The 17,195-nt window shown below is 43.6% G+C and overlaps 1 protein-coding gene across 1 annotated transcript in view, besides 7 other annotated features; it reads left to right on the forward strand.

Moving 5' to 3' along the window:
• Positions 1,340 to 1,841: an enhancer, noted in NCBI's record as "H3K27ac hESC enhancer chr6:139447769-139448270 (GRCh37/hg19 assembly coordinates)". NCBI's record gives its function as "activates a minimal SCP1, AML or CMV promoter by ChIP-STARR-seq in primed H9 embryonic stem cells {active_cell/tissue: H9 hESC(primed)}" and the evidence as "EXISTENCE:reporter gene assay evidence [ECO:0000049][PMID:30033119]".
• Positions 8,252 to 8,301: an enhancer, noted in NCBI's record as "active region_25165". NCBI's record gives its function as "activates an Ori minimal core promoter by ATAC-STARR-seq in GM12878 lymphoblastoid cells {active_cell/tissue: GM12878}" and the evidence as "EXISTENCE:reporter gene assay evidence [ECO:0000049][PMID:35858748]".
• Positions 9,580 to 9,769: a silencer, noted in NCBI's record as "silent region_17605". NCBI's record gives its function as "represses an Ori minimal core promoter by ATAC-STARR-seq in GM12878 lymphoblastoid cells {active_cell/tissue: GM12878}" and the evidence as "EXISTENCE:reporter gene assay evidence [ECO:0000049][PMID:35858748]".
• Positions 9,580 to 9,874: an enhancer, noted in NCBI's record as "tiled region #4168; HepG2 Activating DNase unmatched - State 4:PromP, and K562 Activating DNase matched - State 4:PromP". NCBI's record gives its function as "activates a minimal TATA promoter and a strong SV40 promoter by Sharpr-MPRA in HepG2 and K562 cells {active_cell/tissue: HepG2 | K562}" and the evidence as "EXISTENCE:reporter gene assay evidence [ECO:0000049][PMID:27701403]".
• Positions 9,788 to 17,195, forward strand: part of HECA (hdc homolog, cell cycle regulator) — a 45,723-nt gene continuing 38,315 nt past the window's right edge. Inside the window, exon 1 of the mRNA NM_016217.3 lies at positions 9,788 to 10,375. Coding sequence (NP_057301.1) covers positions 10,105 to 10,375 — 271 coding nt within the window. The 5' untranslated portion in view covers positions 9,788 to 10,104. The remainder of the gene's footprint in view (positions 10,376 to 17,195) is intronic.
• Positions 9,880 to 9,959: a silencer, noted in NCBI's record as "silent region_17606". NCBI's record gives its function as "represses an Ori minimal core promoter by ATAC-STARR-seq in GM12878 lymphoblastoid cells {active_cell/tissue: GM12878}" and the evidence as "EXISTENCE:reporter gene assay evidence [ECO:0000049][PMID:35858748]".
• Positions 10,360 to 10,629: a silencer, noted in NCBI's record as "silent region_17607". NCBI's record gives its function as "represses an Ori minimal core promoter by ATAC-STARR-seq in GM12878 lymphoblastoid cells {active_cell/tissue: GM12878}" and the evidence as "EXISTENCE:reporter gene assay evidence [ECO:0000049][PMID:35858748]".
• Positions 10,740 to 10,859: an enhancer, noted in NCBI's record as "active region_25166". NCBI's record gives its function as "activates an Ori minimal core promoter by ATAC-STARR-seq in GM12878 lymphoblastoid cells {active_cell/tissue: GM12878}" and the evidence as "EXISTENCE:reporter gene assay evidence [ECO:0000049][PMID:35858748]".

Genomic DNA, 17,195 nt, shown 5'->3' on the forward strand with positions numbered 1-17,195 from the left:
AAGGCAAATAGCAACAGACAAAGAATATAAAATGTAAATGCTCCTGGTAATAACAACCACTATTTATTGAGAGCTTACTATGCGCTAGGCCCTACACATACATTATGAGTCTTAACTCTGAAATAGATACCATTATCCCCATTTCACAAATATCTTGTCCAAGATCACACAGCTAGCAAGCCAAAACTGCAACTCGGAAAGTCTGGCTCCGTACACACGCCCCTAACCACAAAACTATAATAACTCTTCATTGGATCTAAAGCTGGCATCTACCCTGAAACCTGAGAAGTGCCTGCTCTAGGAAATAACAAATGTTTTCTGCTTATATGCTAGAAGGAATTTCCTCTATCTTGAAGGGAAAGGTTTGTTTTTTTGTTTTGTTTTGTTTTGTTTTTTTAACAAATGCACACTGTAGTGTAGGTCCAAACAATACACAGTGGTACTCTTATCACCCTGGCTTCCACTTTTGAGCAGCTCCTTTAGGTATTGATCAGGTGTTTCCTCTTACAAAGAAACCCCACAGATTACCAAGGGCAATGTTTTAACCCAAACCAGACCATGGGCCACAATATTACAAATTGGAGAGTGTGGTAGGATTGGTTTGGAGTAGAGTCCATGCTGTGATCCTCTGTGGGAGACTGTTGGCTAAACCCAACTTGGCAACTTTAATGGTGCAAAAAAATGGCCCAAACCAGGAAGGCTGCAGAATCAGTATGTCAGCACTTAAAATAGAATTTTCTAGTAGAAATGTTAACACAATATAGAAGTAGAGAACTATGACTAGGTGATCAACAGCATATAGGAAGTGGCCATACCTAGAATTTCAGGCATAAGAAGATCTTGTACATGGGATGTTGCCTCCGTTGCCTACTATAATATAACAATTTAATCATTTCCCATTGGCTCATAAGAGCTGGTTGTGCACATCTCTTCCCAACCTTGAGTTCAGTGGCTTGTGCTGATAACCTAAAACTGGCCACAGTAGGAGTATTTATACCATGGGCAACTAGAAATGCTACAAATCAGAGTTCCCTCCCACATCCCTTCCCAGCCAGTTTAGCAACAGCACAGCACTAAAACTACCCCAAGAGTTGCTTAAAACAGCAACTATTTATTATTTCTCACAATTCTGTGGGTTGACTAGGCTCATCCGGGCAATCTGTTCCATGTGGTAAAGCTGTGGTGACTCATACAGCTATATTCAGCTAAGATAGGATTTCTCAAGCTTGGCACTAGATTCGGGGCTGGATAATTGTTTGTTGTTGCGTCCTGTGCATTGCAGGCTGTTGAGCAGCATCTCTGGCCTCAACCTACTAGATGCTAGAAGTGACAACCAAAAATATCCCTGGACATTGCTAAATGTCCCTGAAGGCAAAATTGCCAGGGGTTGAGAACCACGAAGCTAAGAGCTTGGCTGGGGCTGGAACACAAGTATCCTTTCTCATCTTCCACATGTCCATGATCTTTTATTAAAGAAAAATGTTATTCATGACATTTGTTACAGATGGTAATGCAAACTTTTCAGGGGAACTACTACCATGGAGTTTTGTATTAGGAGAGAGAGATTGGGCTCAACTCCAAATACAACAAGGAAAAGTGGGGATTTGTAGCCAAGGAGCAGGGGTGGGAGTCAGTGGATAGACAGTTACTAAGAGGAAACATCAAGGTTAGGGGGATTGTGGCCAAACTGACTTGAGAGGATTCTTGCTGAAGGCAGGCCAGGCTGATCTCATACGGAAAGTTGGGGATTTTTATGAAATTGACCCAGCAAGATTCTTGCTAAAACGGAACTAAGCAGGCCAAGGACGAGGCAAGGTTGGGGCCTAGTCAAAAAGAGGAATCAGAGGGGCCTGACTCAAGTTTGGTCAAGGACGGAGTCTTTGTCACCCTCTCCATGTGGCCTCTCATCATTCCATAGTCTGGCTCAAGTTTCTTTGCAGCATGGTGGCTGGCTTTTGGGAGAGCAAAAGCAAATTTAGGGTCCAGACTAGAGCAATTGCACTTTTGCTGCATTTCTAATTGGTCAAAGCAAGTCACAAGGCCAGGTTAGATTTAAGGGGAAGGCAAACAGACTCCACCTTTTGAAGAGAGGAGTAGCACATTTGTGTTCATCTTTAATCCATGCAGTGCTATGTTTGCATTTAAGGACTTAGAACAAATATTCTGCAGGAGGAAAGGAAATCTTAAGACAAAATTCTATTCGAGATTGATTGAAATGAACTCCAGAACCATACATAGCAGTACTTATTACTGGACTAAATGTGAAACTGATTGTTCATGTGATGGTAAATTTTTGTTACCTATAACAATTACAGCATATTTGAAGTTTCTTAAAATGGAAGCAATACCATGAATGTTCAACTGTTTACATCATTTAGAATTAGTACTTAATGTATTATATCTTCTGACAGTTTCCGTTTTATAGTTTTGAAGATATTTCCCAAGAAGTTTTCTAAAGAACTGGTTGTTTACAAGAGGGATCCAGTATCTGTCTTTTCACCATTGTATCAATACTCACCTGATTGCTAGTGCCAGAAGTAGATTGTTTTCTTTTCTTTTTCTTCTTCCTTATTTTTTTTGAGATGGAGTCTCACTCTGTCGCCCAGGCTGGAGTGCAGTGGCACCATCTGGGCTCACCACAACCTCCGCCTCTCAGGTTCAAGAGATTCTCCTGCCTCAGCCTCCCGAGTAGCTGGGATTATAGGAGTGCACCACCACACCCAGCTAATTGTTATATTTTTGGTAGAGATGGCGGGGGTGGTTCACCATGTTGGCCAGGCTGGTCTCAAACTCCTGACCTCAAGTGATCTGCCTGTCTCAGCCTCCCAAAGTGCTGGGATTACAGGTGTGAGCCACTGTGCCCAGCTAGAAGTAGATTTTTGTTGTTGTTGTTCCAAGGCATTATTTCCCCTAAAAATATTCAGCAGGACTCTACTTCCGTAGAATGTTAATAAGCATTACATGTAAAAGGATTTATAGGTTATATACATTTGGGAAATTCTAAGTTGAGAGTAAACAGGTTTCTTTACTGCTGGACTTTTAGGATCTTTACTATGCTAATATATATTGTGACTCATACAATATACAGTGTTTCCTAGACTTATTTTACCACAGAAATAGAGGCACGTCTTATATAACTAGTGTTCCTCAGGATATTCTTGGTAGAAATCATTCCAAGTAGAAATAAAGGAGGAAGCTGAATCTTGAGAGAAAATTCTAGCCAAGATCAATCAAAATTAACTCCAGAAACAAGCAGAGCAGTAGCCTTAGCACTTAGAAAAAAAATAGGTGTTCTTGAAATAGATCCTCAGATCCAACAATGAACTAACTACACTGATTGTGTTTGTTCTAAAAGTCAATAGTTCTTTAACTACAGAGGCCTGAAACACTTAAGCCAAAGATCTTTTGCAAAAGTTATTGTAAATTCATGAAATTTTATCATCCAAGATCATCAAAGATTCATTAGTTGAAACAGCAGTGTGGAAAGGAAGAACTGGAATAAGGTCTTAATTTTTCCATGCTTTTTATCTTATAAACTAAACTCGAAGCCCTTGAAAATGAGAACTTAGAGTGCAAGCAGTATATGAAGATATTTGTGGTAGGTAGTTTCTAAGATGGTTTGTTGTTGTTGTTGTTGAAACAGAGTCTCACTCTGTCGCCCAGACTGGAGCGCAGTGGCATGATCTCGGCTCACTGCAACCTCCACCTCCCGGGTTCAAGTGATTCTCCTGCCTCAGCCTCCCAATTAGCTGGGATTACAGGTGCGTGCCACCACGCCCAGCTAATTTCGGTATTTTTAGTAGAGACAGGATTTCACCATCTTGGCCAGGCTCGTCTCAAACTCCTGAACTCGTGATCCACCCGCCTTGGCTTCCCAAAGTGCTGGGATTACAGGCGTGAGCCACTGTGCCCGGCCCTAAGATGGGTTTTAATGATCCCCATCCCTTGGTGTTCATGCCCTTGTGTAATTTCCTCCACCCAAGCTTTGGCTAAATCTGATGACTTGCTTCCAAGAAACAGAGTACAGCAAAATGATGGATGTTACTTCTGAGATTAGATTACAAAAAAGATTGGCATCTGTCTTGTTTACTCTCTCATGCTCCCTGTCTTTCTCCCTTGGATGAAACCAGCTGCCCTGTTGTGAGCTGCCCCAGGCTGAGGTTTCTGTGGTAAAGAACTGAGGGGAGGTCTGGGGCCAGCAGCCCACAAGGAATGTTGAATCCTTCTCGCAACCCTAGGACTGAGTTTGGAAATGGATCCTCCCCCAGTTGGCTGACTATAGCCTTCTGAGGACTCAGCTAAGCCATCCCAAGATTACTGATTCACAGAAACTGTGAGATAATAAATGTTTGTTGTTTTAAGCTGTTAAATTGTGGGGTCATTTGTTAGGCAGCAATAGATAATTAGCACCATATTAAAAGAGGCATTTAGAGAGGGCCAATGTTGTATTATCTAAGTCAAATCTTGCAGACAGCCTTCAGAAGCACTGTGGTTAAGTCAAGCTTTAGAATGGCAGAATAGAAAAGTGCTGATTTTAATTGGGCATAAACATAGGGGATATTGATAAAAACTAGATGACAAAAATCTTTGAGATTTCAGTGACACTCCAGAGGAGATATCAGAAATACAAGGTGTAGAAATGGATAATTCCATGGCCACTGCAATTGCTGATGAAGGTATTGCTATTATAGGGGTTCTTGTTATACAAATCTAGACCAAACTGAGCCATCCCTTTTTGGTTTAAATATTATGCTAGCTGAACATAAAAATGTGGTTTTAGAAGAATTCTTTTTTTCTTCATGAGATCTGGCTCAAATTATTCTTTTAGGTGCTCCTCTCCATTCTCTTTTATTGAATGAATATGTATTAAACACTTAACTATATGCCAGGCCCTGTTTTAGGTACAGAAGATTAACAGAGAAATCCTCACCCTCTTGAAACTTGCATTCTAGTGTGGAAGGACAGACAGTAAACAAAGTTAATAAACATAAAAATAAATCTCTTAGGCCGGGCGCGGCCTCTTAGGTGGCTCACACCTGTAATCTCAGCACTTTGGAAGGCCAAGGCGGGTGGATCTTAAGGTCAGGAGTTCGAGACCAGCCTGGCCAATATGGTGAAACCCCGTCTCTACTAAAAATACAAAAATTAGCTGGGCATGGTGTCGCAAACCTGTAATCCCAGCTATTCAGGAGGCTGCGGCAGGAGAATCACTTGAACCCGGGAGGTGGAGGTTGCAGTGAGCCGAGATTGTGCTACTGCGCTCCAGCCTTGGCGACAGAGCGAGACTCCGTCCCAAAAAAAAAAAAAAAAAAAAAAAGTAAATAAATCTCATGAAGGAAACGTTCTTTCGGGTTTACTGGGGCCTAAGATAGTATTGATGCTGAACTGGGACAATAGTATGAGCAAGGAAGGCACAGAGGTTCGAGTAAGCAGCAAGTTCAGGGATCACTGAAAAAAATTCTGACCCTTTTTTATGACTGCTTTTATAGATTATGAAAATAATGTAAAAGTCACAACTAAAGGATGGAAAAGAGATTTTAAGGGCAAATATTTGAGAAAAATATTAATATTGGTAATCGGGAACAGCCTAAAGGGAGAGTAGATCTATGGAATTTATTAATCAATATTATTATTTGCTTTAATATTCCATTTTTTCAAAGTTTTTATAATCACAATTGTCATTATTCCTCAAAGAAAACCTGTGGCCATAGGAAAGGCTATTTGCAGAAGAAAAAACTGATGCATGAAGACAATGCATTGCTCCAGGTGTATTTATTTGAAGTGACTTTTTAGCAGATCAGGCTTTAGTACCTTTTAGCTTATGTTTCAATTGTGGACATATTCTTGTGTGCATTACTGTGTTATCTGCAGAATTCCTTCTGAGTTCCAATATGATTTTTTCGATCAAGGTGTATTTGGATATTTGGCTTCTTACCTATGTTCTAAGTTTTCAATTATCCTTAACACATATATTTTGTACTTTAAACCTAACCAAACTTAGCTGACCCCAAGAGCTCAGAAGACAGCCACAAAATGTCAAATGAACAAAATTAGGGCACTGAAACAATGACTGCTTATTCCAGTTCAGCCTGAAGATTAGCCCACCCCTTTCTTAAGGGTGTAAATTGTTTGCTTTTGATGCCCTTGATTTGTTGCTGTGCTTTATTTTGTTTTCGCAGAGAAGTGAGCAATAGGGTGGGTGAGGTTTGGGGGAAGGAAACCTAGGATAGAGGTATAATTTTTTTGAAGTTTATATCAGAGCATGAGTTGATCAGGGAAATTGAAGAATGAGAAGGCAAGTGTAGATGTACAGAACAGAGTGGCTTCCTCAGTTCCTTGGAGTTCTTTATACTTCTGGAAGTTTCTAAGGGGAATGTTCCATTGTACCATCTGCCACCTTTTGTCTTTTGGTATGCTGTCTCTCTCTCTCACCTTCAGAAATGGTGGGAAAACGGCTAGGACAGCAGGATAGAACATAGGAAATGGAGTCCTTTAACTTCACCTACATTTTGTTCCTAACATCTTGATTTTAGTATATTGTCTTTGTAGCAATAAAATCGGAACTATTGCCTCTGCACCAAATTTGACTAAGGCTAAAAATAGATTAGCGAGGTTGAGCATGGAAGAAGTGGCAAGCTTCTCCTTCCTCCTTTTCATTTTGTTTCAGTTTGAATAGAAGGAGGTAGCTCACACAATTAACCAGAACAGCAACTGGCTGGATGTCTGGGTGCTTTGAGCCAATTAGGATATTTTTGTGGAAAGTTTCCAATTCTTAATTCTCAGTTATGTAGAGGTGGGAGGCAGCTGGTGTGAATGTCTGTCTGCAGGGTACATGCATACTAACTCTGATCCAATATGGCATGACAGCAATGTGCTTATTCAAGAAAATAATTATCTCAATTTTCTTGTACTCTAACCTAAAATGTCTTCGCCTTCACGACTTAAAAAAACAAAACAAAAAACCAGAAAAAAAAAAAGAAACGCCAAAGCTAACATCACCCACATATTTTGAGACCTCTAGTGGTATCAATAATGAAATTAAGCTAAGTCTGAATGGGCAACAGTAATTCATTATCTTCCTCCACGGACCCACTGCCCTCCCCGGGAAGTCTCCCTTTAATTAACTACCTTCATCATTTCTTCTGATTTTCAGAATTTCTTGACTTCACTCTCTCTTTCACCCCTCATTTTTGGTGTCCAAGTGGCCACCAAAGCAATATCCCAGTGTGTAAGCTGCTATGGTGAGGAAGGTGCAGGGAGTATCTGGGGACAAGTCTAGTTTTGGGTTGTCACAGATTTCCTAGAGAATTGATGATTTAGCTGAGACTTTAAGGTTCAGAATAATGTAGCCAGAAGAAGAGTGCTTTAGGTATCTTCCATGCAACAAATTTTTATTGAATACTTACTGTGGGTCAAGGTTTATGCCAGACTCTGTAGCGTTAGAAAGCTAGGCACAATCCCTGCTCTCTTAGCACCTAGGGGATTTCAAGGTTGGGGAGAAATAGACATGAAAATATAAGCACAAAATATCTATCTATCAATAGGGCCTTCTAAAGGGTCACTATCCTCTAATACATATTAGGGAATTTAAAATTTCAACTTTTTTTTTCTACTAAAGAGTCCAACCAGCAATTTCCCCTGAGTATCCAGTGCTTGCTCCTTCTTGCCGTTCCAGGCTCTGTTATGCATTCTGCTATGGTTGCCCAGAGCTCGCAATCAGAATCTCCTCTCCATTACCTGAATGTGGGGGAGAGTATTGTTTCTTGTACTTTCCTGTCTATCTGTATAGTTCACAATGAGGCAGAGAACAGAGTCTGGAGGCAGGGAACCTAAGGGCGTTTCACCCCACTTCCTAAACTAAATTGAAAGGAAAACCCTAACTTTCCACACCTGAGTAACAAAAGGACCAGAAGCTGCTCCCTTTGCAAACCCTCACCTTTTCTGCGTGGCAGATGGGAAACTGGCTGTCAGCAACCAATGAGACTGATTGCGGGTGGAGTCTTTGCATAGAAGTGCAACTTTGTAACTTCACCTTAGCCTCTGATTGGTTGCTTTTTAAACAGAAGTGTGCAAAAAGTGTGATTGCACAGAAGTGTGACCTTTGTTAACTCCACTTCAGCCTCTGATTGGTTGACGAAAGCAACCAATCAGACTAATTGTGCGTCACCACTTCATTTACATGAGAAACCTCCAGGGGGTATTTGGACCTCAGAAGATTCTGCATCCGGAACCTTGAGCCACCGCTGGGGCCGCTTCCATACTGTGGAGTGTACTTTCATTCTCAATAAATCCCTGCTTTCTTCTTTCCTTGCTTTGCTGGGCGTTTGGTCCAATTGTTTGTTCAAAATGCCAAGAACTTGGACGACTTGCAGTCAAGACCCTCTAATGGTAACAACAACACCGTGACAGAGCTTTTACTAAAGGGCTGAATTAAAGATTACACTATAAAAGGGGAACACTGTAAAGCTGTCAGCTAAACTAGTCTTTCCTCCACAGTTCGTGAGGAAGGAACCTAATTTATACATTCAACAAATTTATGCCAGCTGTTCTCTGATGTGCCCAAGGCAGATAAAATCTATCCATGGAGGTTTCATTTCAGTGAGAGGGAGATATACAAGAAATAAGTAAACACCTACATTGCCAACATAATTAGAGATGGAGGAGGAAAATAACAGGGTGGAACTTCTGACAGCTCTCCTGGGAAGGTCTCTGTGGAAGTGATGTATTTGAGCTGAGACCTGAAGGAAGGGAAGGAGTTGGCCGAAAAGGTAGAATAGAATTGCAGAAAGAGATCAAGGGGAGCTCTTCCCAGGGGTCCCCTGCCCTCATATTGCCTGTCTTCACTGGTGTCACCTAATCTCCTACTGCTCATAACCTGGCTACCTATCTTTCACTATCTTTCAGGACAACTCAGCCCTATGCATAGGGATGGGTTCCCCCCAAGCAGGGACTGCTTCAGAGTCCAGGCAACATCTAGTTACATCCCTGGATGATGGGTCTTGTTTGAGTGAATTGTTTTCACCACCAGACTGTGAAGGCTTCCCATTCAGGACCCTGGTGTTCATCCCCATTGTCTGGGAACTCTACCCTGTTTCTTTCTTTCTTTTCTTTTTTTTTTTTTTTTTTTGAGACAGAGTCTCGCTCTGTTGCTCAAGCTGGAGTGCAGTGGCGCGATCTCGGATCCCAGGTTCAAGTGATTCTCCTGCCTCAGCTTCCCGAGTTTCTGGGACTACAGGCGCACGCCACCACGCCCAGCTAATTTTTTTTTGTATTTTTAGTAGAGACAGGGTTTCACCACGTTGGCCAGGATGGTCTCGATCTCTTGACCTCGTGATACACCCGCCTCGGCCTCCCAAAGTGCTGGGATTACAGGCATAAGCCACCGCGCCCGGTCCCCTGTTTCTTTAATTACTGTTACTGAAAGGCATAGCCTTTGAATGAGTTATTAATCCAAAATCTTTTGTTTTCCATTCTTGCTCTAGTCACAGCTTATTTTTCCAGACCATACTGTTCTAAGCCTCAATTACATTAAGGCCAGGAGGCCACCGAAGAACTCCACATGCCACTGCACTGGCGGGTGGAGCAAGTCAAGCAGGGCAGCTCATGAACGCCCGGGAGTCCAGGAGGCCCGGGTGGGGACGCCTGGATGACGTCACTCGAGGTGGGCAGGCCCCGCGCGGGGCGTGACGTCACGCGGGCGGTCCCGTCAGCCGTGAGGTCACCTGGTGGGCGCGGCCAGGCCGAATCCCCAGTGTCGTCACGGGAGGGGGCGGGCCCAGAGCGTGTCAGTGCAGCCGAATCAAAACAAGCCGGAGACCCGCCTTTTCCCTCCGGCTCGGGAGCGTCTCGCTTGCGCCCCGGGCCCGCGGCGCCCGCGCGGCTGCGAGCCTCGGGTGGCCGCGTGCCGGCTCCAGGAAGCCGGAGAGGGCGCGGCGGCCAGGATGGCGCGGCACGGGCCGTGCGGCTAGACGGGAGCCGAGGGAACCGCCGGCTCGCGCCCTCCGTTCTTTCCCGGAGCCGGCTTCACGCAGGGCCGGGAACGGCCGTGCCTCTGGGATCCGCCTTCGCTGACGCCGGGCACCTACCTGGACGCGAGCGAGCGAGATGCCCAACCCCAAAAACAGCAAAGGCGGCCGCAAAAACAAGCGCGCCAACAGCAGCGGCGACGAGCAGGAAAATGGAGCCGGGGCCCTGGCAGCGGCGGGCGCGGCGGGAGCGGCGGCCGGGGGGGCCCTGGCGGCGGCGGCCGGTTGCGGGGCGGCGGCGGCGGGCGCGCCGGGCGCCGGAGGCGCGGCGGGCGCCGGAGGCGCGGGGACTGGCGCCGCGAACGCTGCGGCCGCCGCGGGGGCTGCGGCCGCGGGCGATGCCAAAAACGGTAAGACGGGGCTGGCGGGGCGAGCGCCAACTTCCTCCCCGACGGGGACGGCGCGGTGGCGGGGCCCTGGGTGGCGCGGGCGGTGCGTGGACAATGCGAGAGTCAGGAAGTGCTCACCCCGCCCCTCCGCCCCGCCGCGGCTGCCCCTTCGCGGTCCCCACGCCTGGCGGCGGGGACAGATCTGCGGCCCCTGCCCGGTGTCCGCGCGGGGGGCAGCCCGCGCCCCACACTCTGAGGGGCTCCCGGCTGCGGCAGCGCTGCCCTCGGGCCCAGCCTGCTGCCCGCGCTGGCACTGCCCCGCCGTGTGTGCCGGGCCGAAGGGAGGAAGGAAGGGAGGAAAGAGCCGCCCAAGTTGAGAAGAATGATCCGATTGAAAACTTAGGCACCGGTTAATTCTTCCCGGTGCTCCAAGGCCACCCGTAACCCCCGGAATGAAGGAGAGAGAGCCTCAATTCTTAGCACACCCAGGCTTGCTGCGTCGATCGCCACAGGTGAAGAGGCCTCGAGACATTTAGGGCCTCTGTGTTTGCTCTTTAATTTTTTGGCTTGCTTGAGGAAGGAAGAGAATCTGAACTTGACTTCCGTTCTCAGCCCGGAGTTAAAAAAAAAAAAAAAAAAAGAAAAGAAAGAAAAGAAAAATCATTCTCTATGTCATTGTGCTTAACATTTTCAGAAGGAAGCCTCATAATCTTAGGTAGTGCCTGAATGTTCCTTTTGAGGGGACACTTAGGAACTGGCCCAGATGTGACAGGATTTCTGTTCTCATTACAGAGCCATGGTTTTCGTTATAAGGTGCTGGGCAAACACTTACTTATTTGGACAGTTCTTTGAATTCCTCTAGTCAGGCACTTTTTCCAGGAAGACAACGTAGGTATTTTAATGAAGGGAGATTTGAATTGTTATATCTGGCTTTTAATTTATAGCGTCAGCTTTTGAAGCCATTCTTTATGTAGATCAGGCACTTTTTTGTTTTGTTTTTTTTTTTTTAGACGGAGTTTGCAATTTCGCCCAGGCTGGAGCGTAGTGGCGCAATCTCGGCTCACTGCAACCACCGTCTTCCGGTCTGAAGCGATTCTCCTGCCTCAGCCTCCCGAGTAGCTGGGATTACAGGCGCCCGCCACCACGCCCGGCTAATTTTTGTTATTTTTAGTAGAGACAGGGTTTCACCATATTGGTCAGGCTGGTCTCGAACTCCTGACCTCGTGATCCGCCCGTCTCGGCCTCCCAAAGTGCTGAGATTACAGGCGTGAGTCACCACGCCCAGCCAGATCAGGCACTTTTTAAACAGGGCACCTGCTCTTACAAGCAGCGTACAGTGCTCTGAACATAGGCGGCTGAATGTCGCCTGTTAGAACTGTAGGCCCCGTTGGCTGTGTCTCTGCAATATTGAAATAGGAAGATTTATTTATTTATTTTCAGAAACAAACTTACCCCGTTTGTGAATGTTTCAGAATACTAGTTTTGGGTAGCCTGTGTTCTTCATGTTCTTTTGTTTTTCTCCTGGCTTTAACCTTCATTTTGGTATTGATGTGGCAGAGAGAAAGGTGCTCAGACTCTGGGTAGGACAGACTCCTAGCTCAGCCATTTAGAGCTTCATCATCTTGGAAAGGTCAGTCTTCCAGAGCCTCAATTTCCTCATGTGTAAACTTGAAAAAAAATTACCCTGGCTCCCTCCTAGTGTTATTGAGAGGCTCAGAGTGCCCCTTCCCTATTATGCTCCCAGTTCTTGTTATTTTAAAGGTTACATATATAATGAGCTTAAAGTTTCTCACAAAGAGTGCATGAACAATGATGACAGCTTTCGTTTATTCATTTAAAAAAGATTACCTGCAGTGTTGCAAGTACCGTGTTCAATACTAAGGGATCCAGCGGTAATCAAGACGAGACATCCCGGTCCTCAGGGAGCTTGCATTCCTGTTCTGGTGGTGGTTTTGGTTTGCTCTGCCCACCCCCCTACCAGCTCCTTTTTTTTTTTTTTTTTGGCCTATGTGGAAGCTTCAAGTTCACAGTTTCCTTTTTTTTCTTGCTCCAAAAGATTAGTCCAATTTAAGGTGGCATGAGGAAATTTTTTTCTTAGGCTACTTGTACCTCCTAGTTTGTACATAACAAACTGGTTAAGGGGCCCCTATTATTATTCTCTGAAGTGGCAGACTCAAGTATATTTAGCAGCACAGTGTATGTGAAGAGCTGTTTCTGATTAGGAGCTTATTTTATTAAGTGAAAGGCGGGGAGAAAAAGGAATGGGCCAACATTCCCATAGTCAGGGTCAGAGGATGTAACTTATATTAGAGGAGTGAGCCAAATTTTATGATGCCTGATTCTTGTTTCTGAAGTGATGTGAAGTCTTCGTGAATGATTCACCTTAATGTGAGGAACCCCCCCTCAGTTCTGCAGTTGATGATAACTGAACTTGGATGCTGAGGACTCCTGGGTGCAAAATCAAATGCTTTTTTCTTTTCTTTTCTTTCTTTCTTTGTTTTTTTCTTTGTTATTTAAAGCTATAGTTTATAAGGTAGGGGTTTGGGAGAGGCGTTACTGGTGAATTTTTAAAGAGGAAGGGGCAAGAGATGCGTAAATTCTCAAAATCAACTAAGGACCAATATTTGGATTTTTAATGTTAAAGTTATTATCGGTAGTAGTTTTAAGTGTATTTCAATTTTTTACTTAACTGTGACATTAGATTTTGTAATTACAGAAATTACAAATCAAGTAATTATTACAAGAAAGGAGGTACTTGATATTCTTTGAAACTTGTAAATAGTTTTTCACTGTTCAAGTCAGCTATCTACATCTGCAAACATGCAAACTTAATGACTTCGCTTAAAATTAATAGTGTTTATTTGTAGTTGTTTGGAGTTTATAGAATGGTTTTGTGTCTTGTAGCTCTTGGGCAGTGCGGCCACCAGAGCAGGGCAATATTAGCTTTTAGTTGTTCAGTTTGTCAAGTGGGCATAAATAAATACTTATTCTGTAAAGGAAGATTACTAGTTACGGAGAGCTTGGGGAAGCCGCGGTATAGTTGTGGTTGGAGAAGATGAACTGGCTGCAGTTGTGCATCTTGAGTAAGTTTAATATTAATTCTTAGGATATCATACCGCTAATAAGACATTTATTAGATACTAATTTTAAGATACTAGTTTATGAGGCTTATTTTTCAGGGATTGGTGTAAAAGACCACCCCATCTTTTTCCTACATAGTAATCTGTCTGCACATACCATTTGCATTTTCATTGCAGGTATACAAGATTACCAATGGTTATATTTAGAATCTAGTTATCAAAAGGTAGATACGTAGTTTCATTCTGGTTCCATTAGGCCTCTACATTTTTATATCAGGCCTAAAAATATTTGAAACCTTGATCATAGTATATCTAGTTTTCATTGGGCCTGGATCTTAAGTACTTTTATAAATTCCTGTTATTGGATGACCATGGTTCATCACTCCACTCATTCCTTACTGCCTCTAGAACCCGTGGGCAGCAGAGTCTGCCTTAATTCATGGAACTGTTTCTAGCAGATGGAGTTCGTTTGCATAGAGATTGGCTTTCCATTTGGTGGACCTAGATTCAAATCCTGGCTTCTCAAATTACTTGTCAAATGACCTTGGGCAAGTCATTTAACTTCTCTGAGCCTTGGTTTCTGCTTTGTAAAATGGATTGTAGTACCTACCCATACAGATGTAGTAAAATATCTGTATCTATCTATTAAATATATTTAAAATAAATAGATTACATACATTAGATAGATTAGAACAGTGTCTGACTTACAGTACCAGCTTACGAAGTATTAGCTGTTTGTCTTAGATCCTGGAAATAGCCTGAGCAGAGATACACGTGCTGGAGGTTACTGGAGAGTGCTCTTGGCATCATTCCTAGTGGAGGAGGGAAGGAAGCAGGATTGGGCAGAAGCAGGAGTTGAACTGTGATGCATCTGTAACAGAGACCCCAGTTGATCCTCTCTTGGGGGAGCTCTGGAGGTGGGATGGCCTTTCTGAGTTATCTCACCTTAAATAATAGGGGCAGGGCCTTCTACACACTCCCCCAACTCCCAGTTGACTGGTCATTTGGACTTGGGCTCCCCCCAGGAAGAGAGCATGACCTTGAGGGTGGCATCTCTTTACCTGGAAACCCTTTATGGAGAGGGACTCTGCTGAGAAGCTTCAGCTCTGAGTGAAAGGAGAGCCATTCTTATTCCCCTAGCATTATGGATGTCTTCATTTAGACCACCAGTACCATTCACATAAAACACAGGTGTGGGATAAATATTTCTCACTAACAACTAAATAGGCTTTGTGGAGGAGACTGGGAATTAACCACCATTATAACAGTGTTTCCATGGGAAAACGCATTCTGAATTCCATATATCTGTTGACAAGTAGATTTTTTTTGGAGTACCACCTGTTCCCTATGCACAGGATTTGTATTTTGCTGCATATTTAGGCCACTAAAGACACTTTTTATAACCGAGGTTTGTAGTATATTTTAAATAGTTTCTTTTTAGATGTTTACTTTAATTCCTACTACATTTAAATTACCTATATCCATCAGTAGGAAAATGAAAAATGTTTGCTTGCTGTTTATTTTCAAATCAAGGAATATCTGTTGAGGATCTAAGGTATATAGGTTACCATTATAATCTTAGAAAACATTTTCTTGCCTTATCTAGAAGTCAGTTTTTTGGGTCTCAAGAACTATTTGCCTTTGGATGTTGTCTTTTGAAATCCACCTTTTTAGTGGAGATTGGCAGAAAATATTGCCTCATGCATCAAAGATTCTTCCTGTACACTTCGTGTATTAAAGTGAAGAGCTCTTCTGTGCGCCGTTCATGGTGCTCTATGCGCAGTCTCGTCTTTCTCTCATTCTTTACTTGTTAGAGGATCTGTGATCTGTCCTTAAGTTCTAGAAACTAAACCTTCAATGTCAATTTTCCTGTAAGTCCAAGAATATATTTCATTCCATGGAGAATTGAAAACGGGAGATAAAACGGGAAAATCTCTTGCAGCTTAATCCTCCTATGAGTTTACTTCAGGCTTTTAGCTATGAATAATTTAAAGAACTTGAAGGTACCAGAAGAGATTCTTTACAGAAAAAAATCTGTCCTAACTGATTTTGATCAGCAACTCTTTGGCATTTTTGTTTTTTGAGATGGAGTCTCGCTCTGTCACCCAGGCTGGAGTGCAGTGGCACTATCTCGGCTCACTGCAAGCTCCACCTCCCAGGTTCACACTATTCTCCTACCTCAGCCTCCGGAGTAGCTGGGACTACAGGCACCCGCCACAATGCCCGGCTAATTTTTTGTATTTTTAGTAGAGACAGGGTTTCTCCGTGTTAGCCAGGATGGTCTTGATCTCCTGACATCGAGATCCGCCCACCTCGGCCTCCCAAAGTGCTGAGATTACAGGCGTGAGCCAGCGCGCCCGGCCCTCTTTGGCATTTTTAAGGGCTTTATTTATTTGAAAATATTGTGTTATTTTATTATTTTACCAGTAATGAAATAAGCATCTTAGAAAAGAAGCTTTCTTTGCCTTTCTGGTTAAACACATAATTCCACCACTTAAGAGATCAACATTATTAATATTTTGATATATGTTCTTGCAGCCTTAAATTTTTTTTCTCACAAAACTTTTAAAAGTACATATATAGTTTCTGCAAAAAGAAGATCATATATTTTATAATCTGATTTTTACACATAGAATAGTTTGTGGACATTTTAGCAGAGCAGTAAATATACAGGTGCATCATCATATGTCTGCACCTTGGAAATTTGATCATTCCACTATTGTTTACCTTTAGGTTCTTATTTATATATTTCTGGGCATTTGTCCACTTAATTACTTCATGTGTTAATTTGTTTCTGCTGCCACAACAAAATACCTCAGTGTGGATAATTTATAAACAATAGAAATTTATTTCTCACAGTTCTAGAAGCTGGGAAGTCCAAGGTCACAGCCAGCAGATTCTGTAGTTGGTGAGAATCACAGCATCCTCACATGGCAGAGAAGGTGAAAGGGATGAACTTGTTCCTTCAAGCACTTTTATGAGGGATCTAATCCCGTTCATGAGAGCCCTCATGGCCTAAACACCTTCTTTTTTTTTTTTTTTTTTGAGACAGAGTCTCACTATGTCACCAGGCTAGAGTGTAGTGGCTTGATCTCAGCTCACTGCATCCTCCACCTCCCAGGTTCAAGCGATTCTCCTGCCTCAGCCTCCCTAGTAGCTGGGACTACAGGCACATGCCACCATGCCCAGCTAATTTTTTTTTTTTTTTTTTTTTTTTGGACATGGAGTGTCGCTCTGTCGCCCAGGCTGGAGTGCAGTGGTGTGATCTCGTCTCACTGCAAGCTCCACCTCCTGGGTTCACGCCATTCTCCTGCCTCAGCCTCCCGAGTAGCTGGGACTACAGGCACCCGCCACCACACCCGGCTAATTTTTTGTATTTTTAGTAGAGACAGGGTTTCACCACGTTAGTCAGGATGGTCTCGATCTCTTGACCTTGTGATCCACTCGCCTTGACCTCCCAAAGTGCTGGGATTACAGGTGTGAGCCACTGCACCTGACCATGGCCTAAACACCTTCTAAAGGCTCCACCTCATAATACTGTTGCACTGGGGATTAAGTTTCAGCATGAATCTTGGAGGGACACAAACATTCAAACCACAGCATGTACTTAGGAAAAATTCTTCCTGTGGACTTGCTATATCCAAGGATTATGCATATTCTCGTGACTTTTAATACATGCTGACAGATTGCCCTATTGAAAGGTTGTACCAGTTTGACATTGCTGTGGTCAGAGTGCTTTTCCCCATGGTCTCATCATTCCC

This window comes from Homo sapiens, chromosome 6, assembly GCF_000001405.40.
Source record: "Homo sapiens chromosome 6, GRCh38.p14 Primary Assembly".
In the NCBI taxonomy this organism is placed as follows: domain Eukaryota; kingdom Metazoa; phylum Chordata; class Mammalia; order Primates; family Hominidae; genus Homo; species Homo sapiens.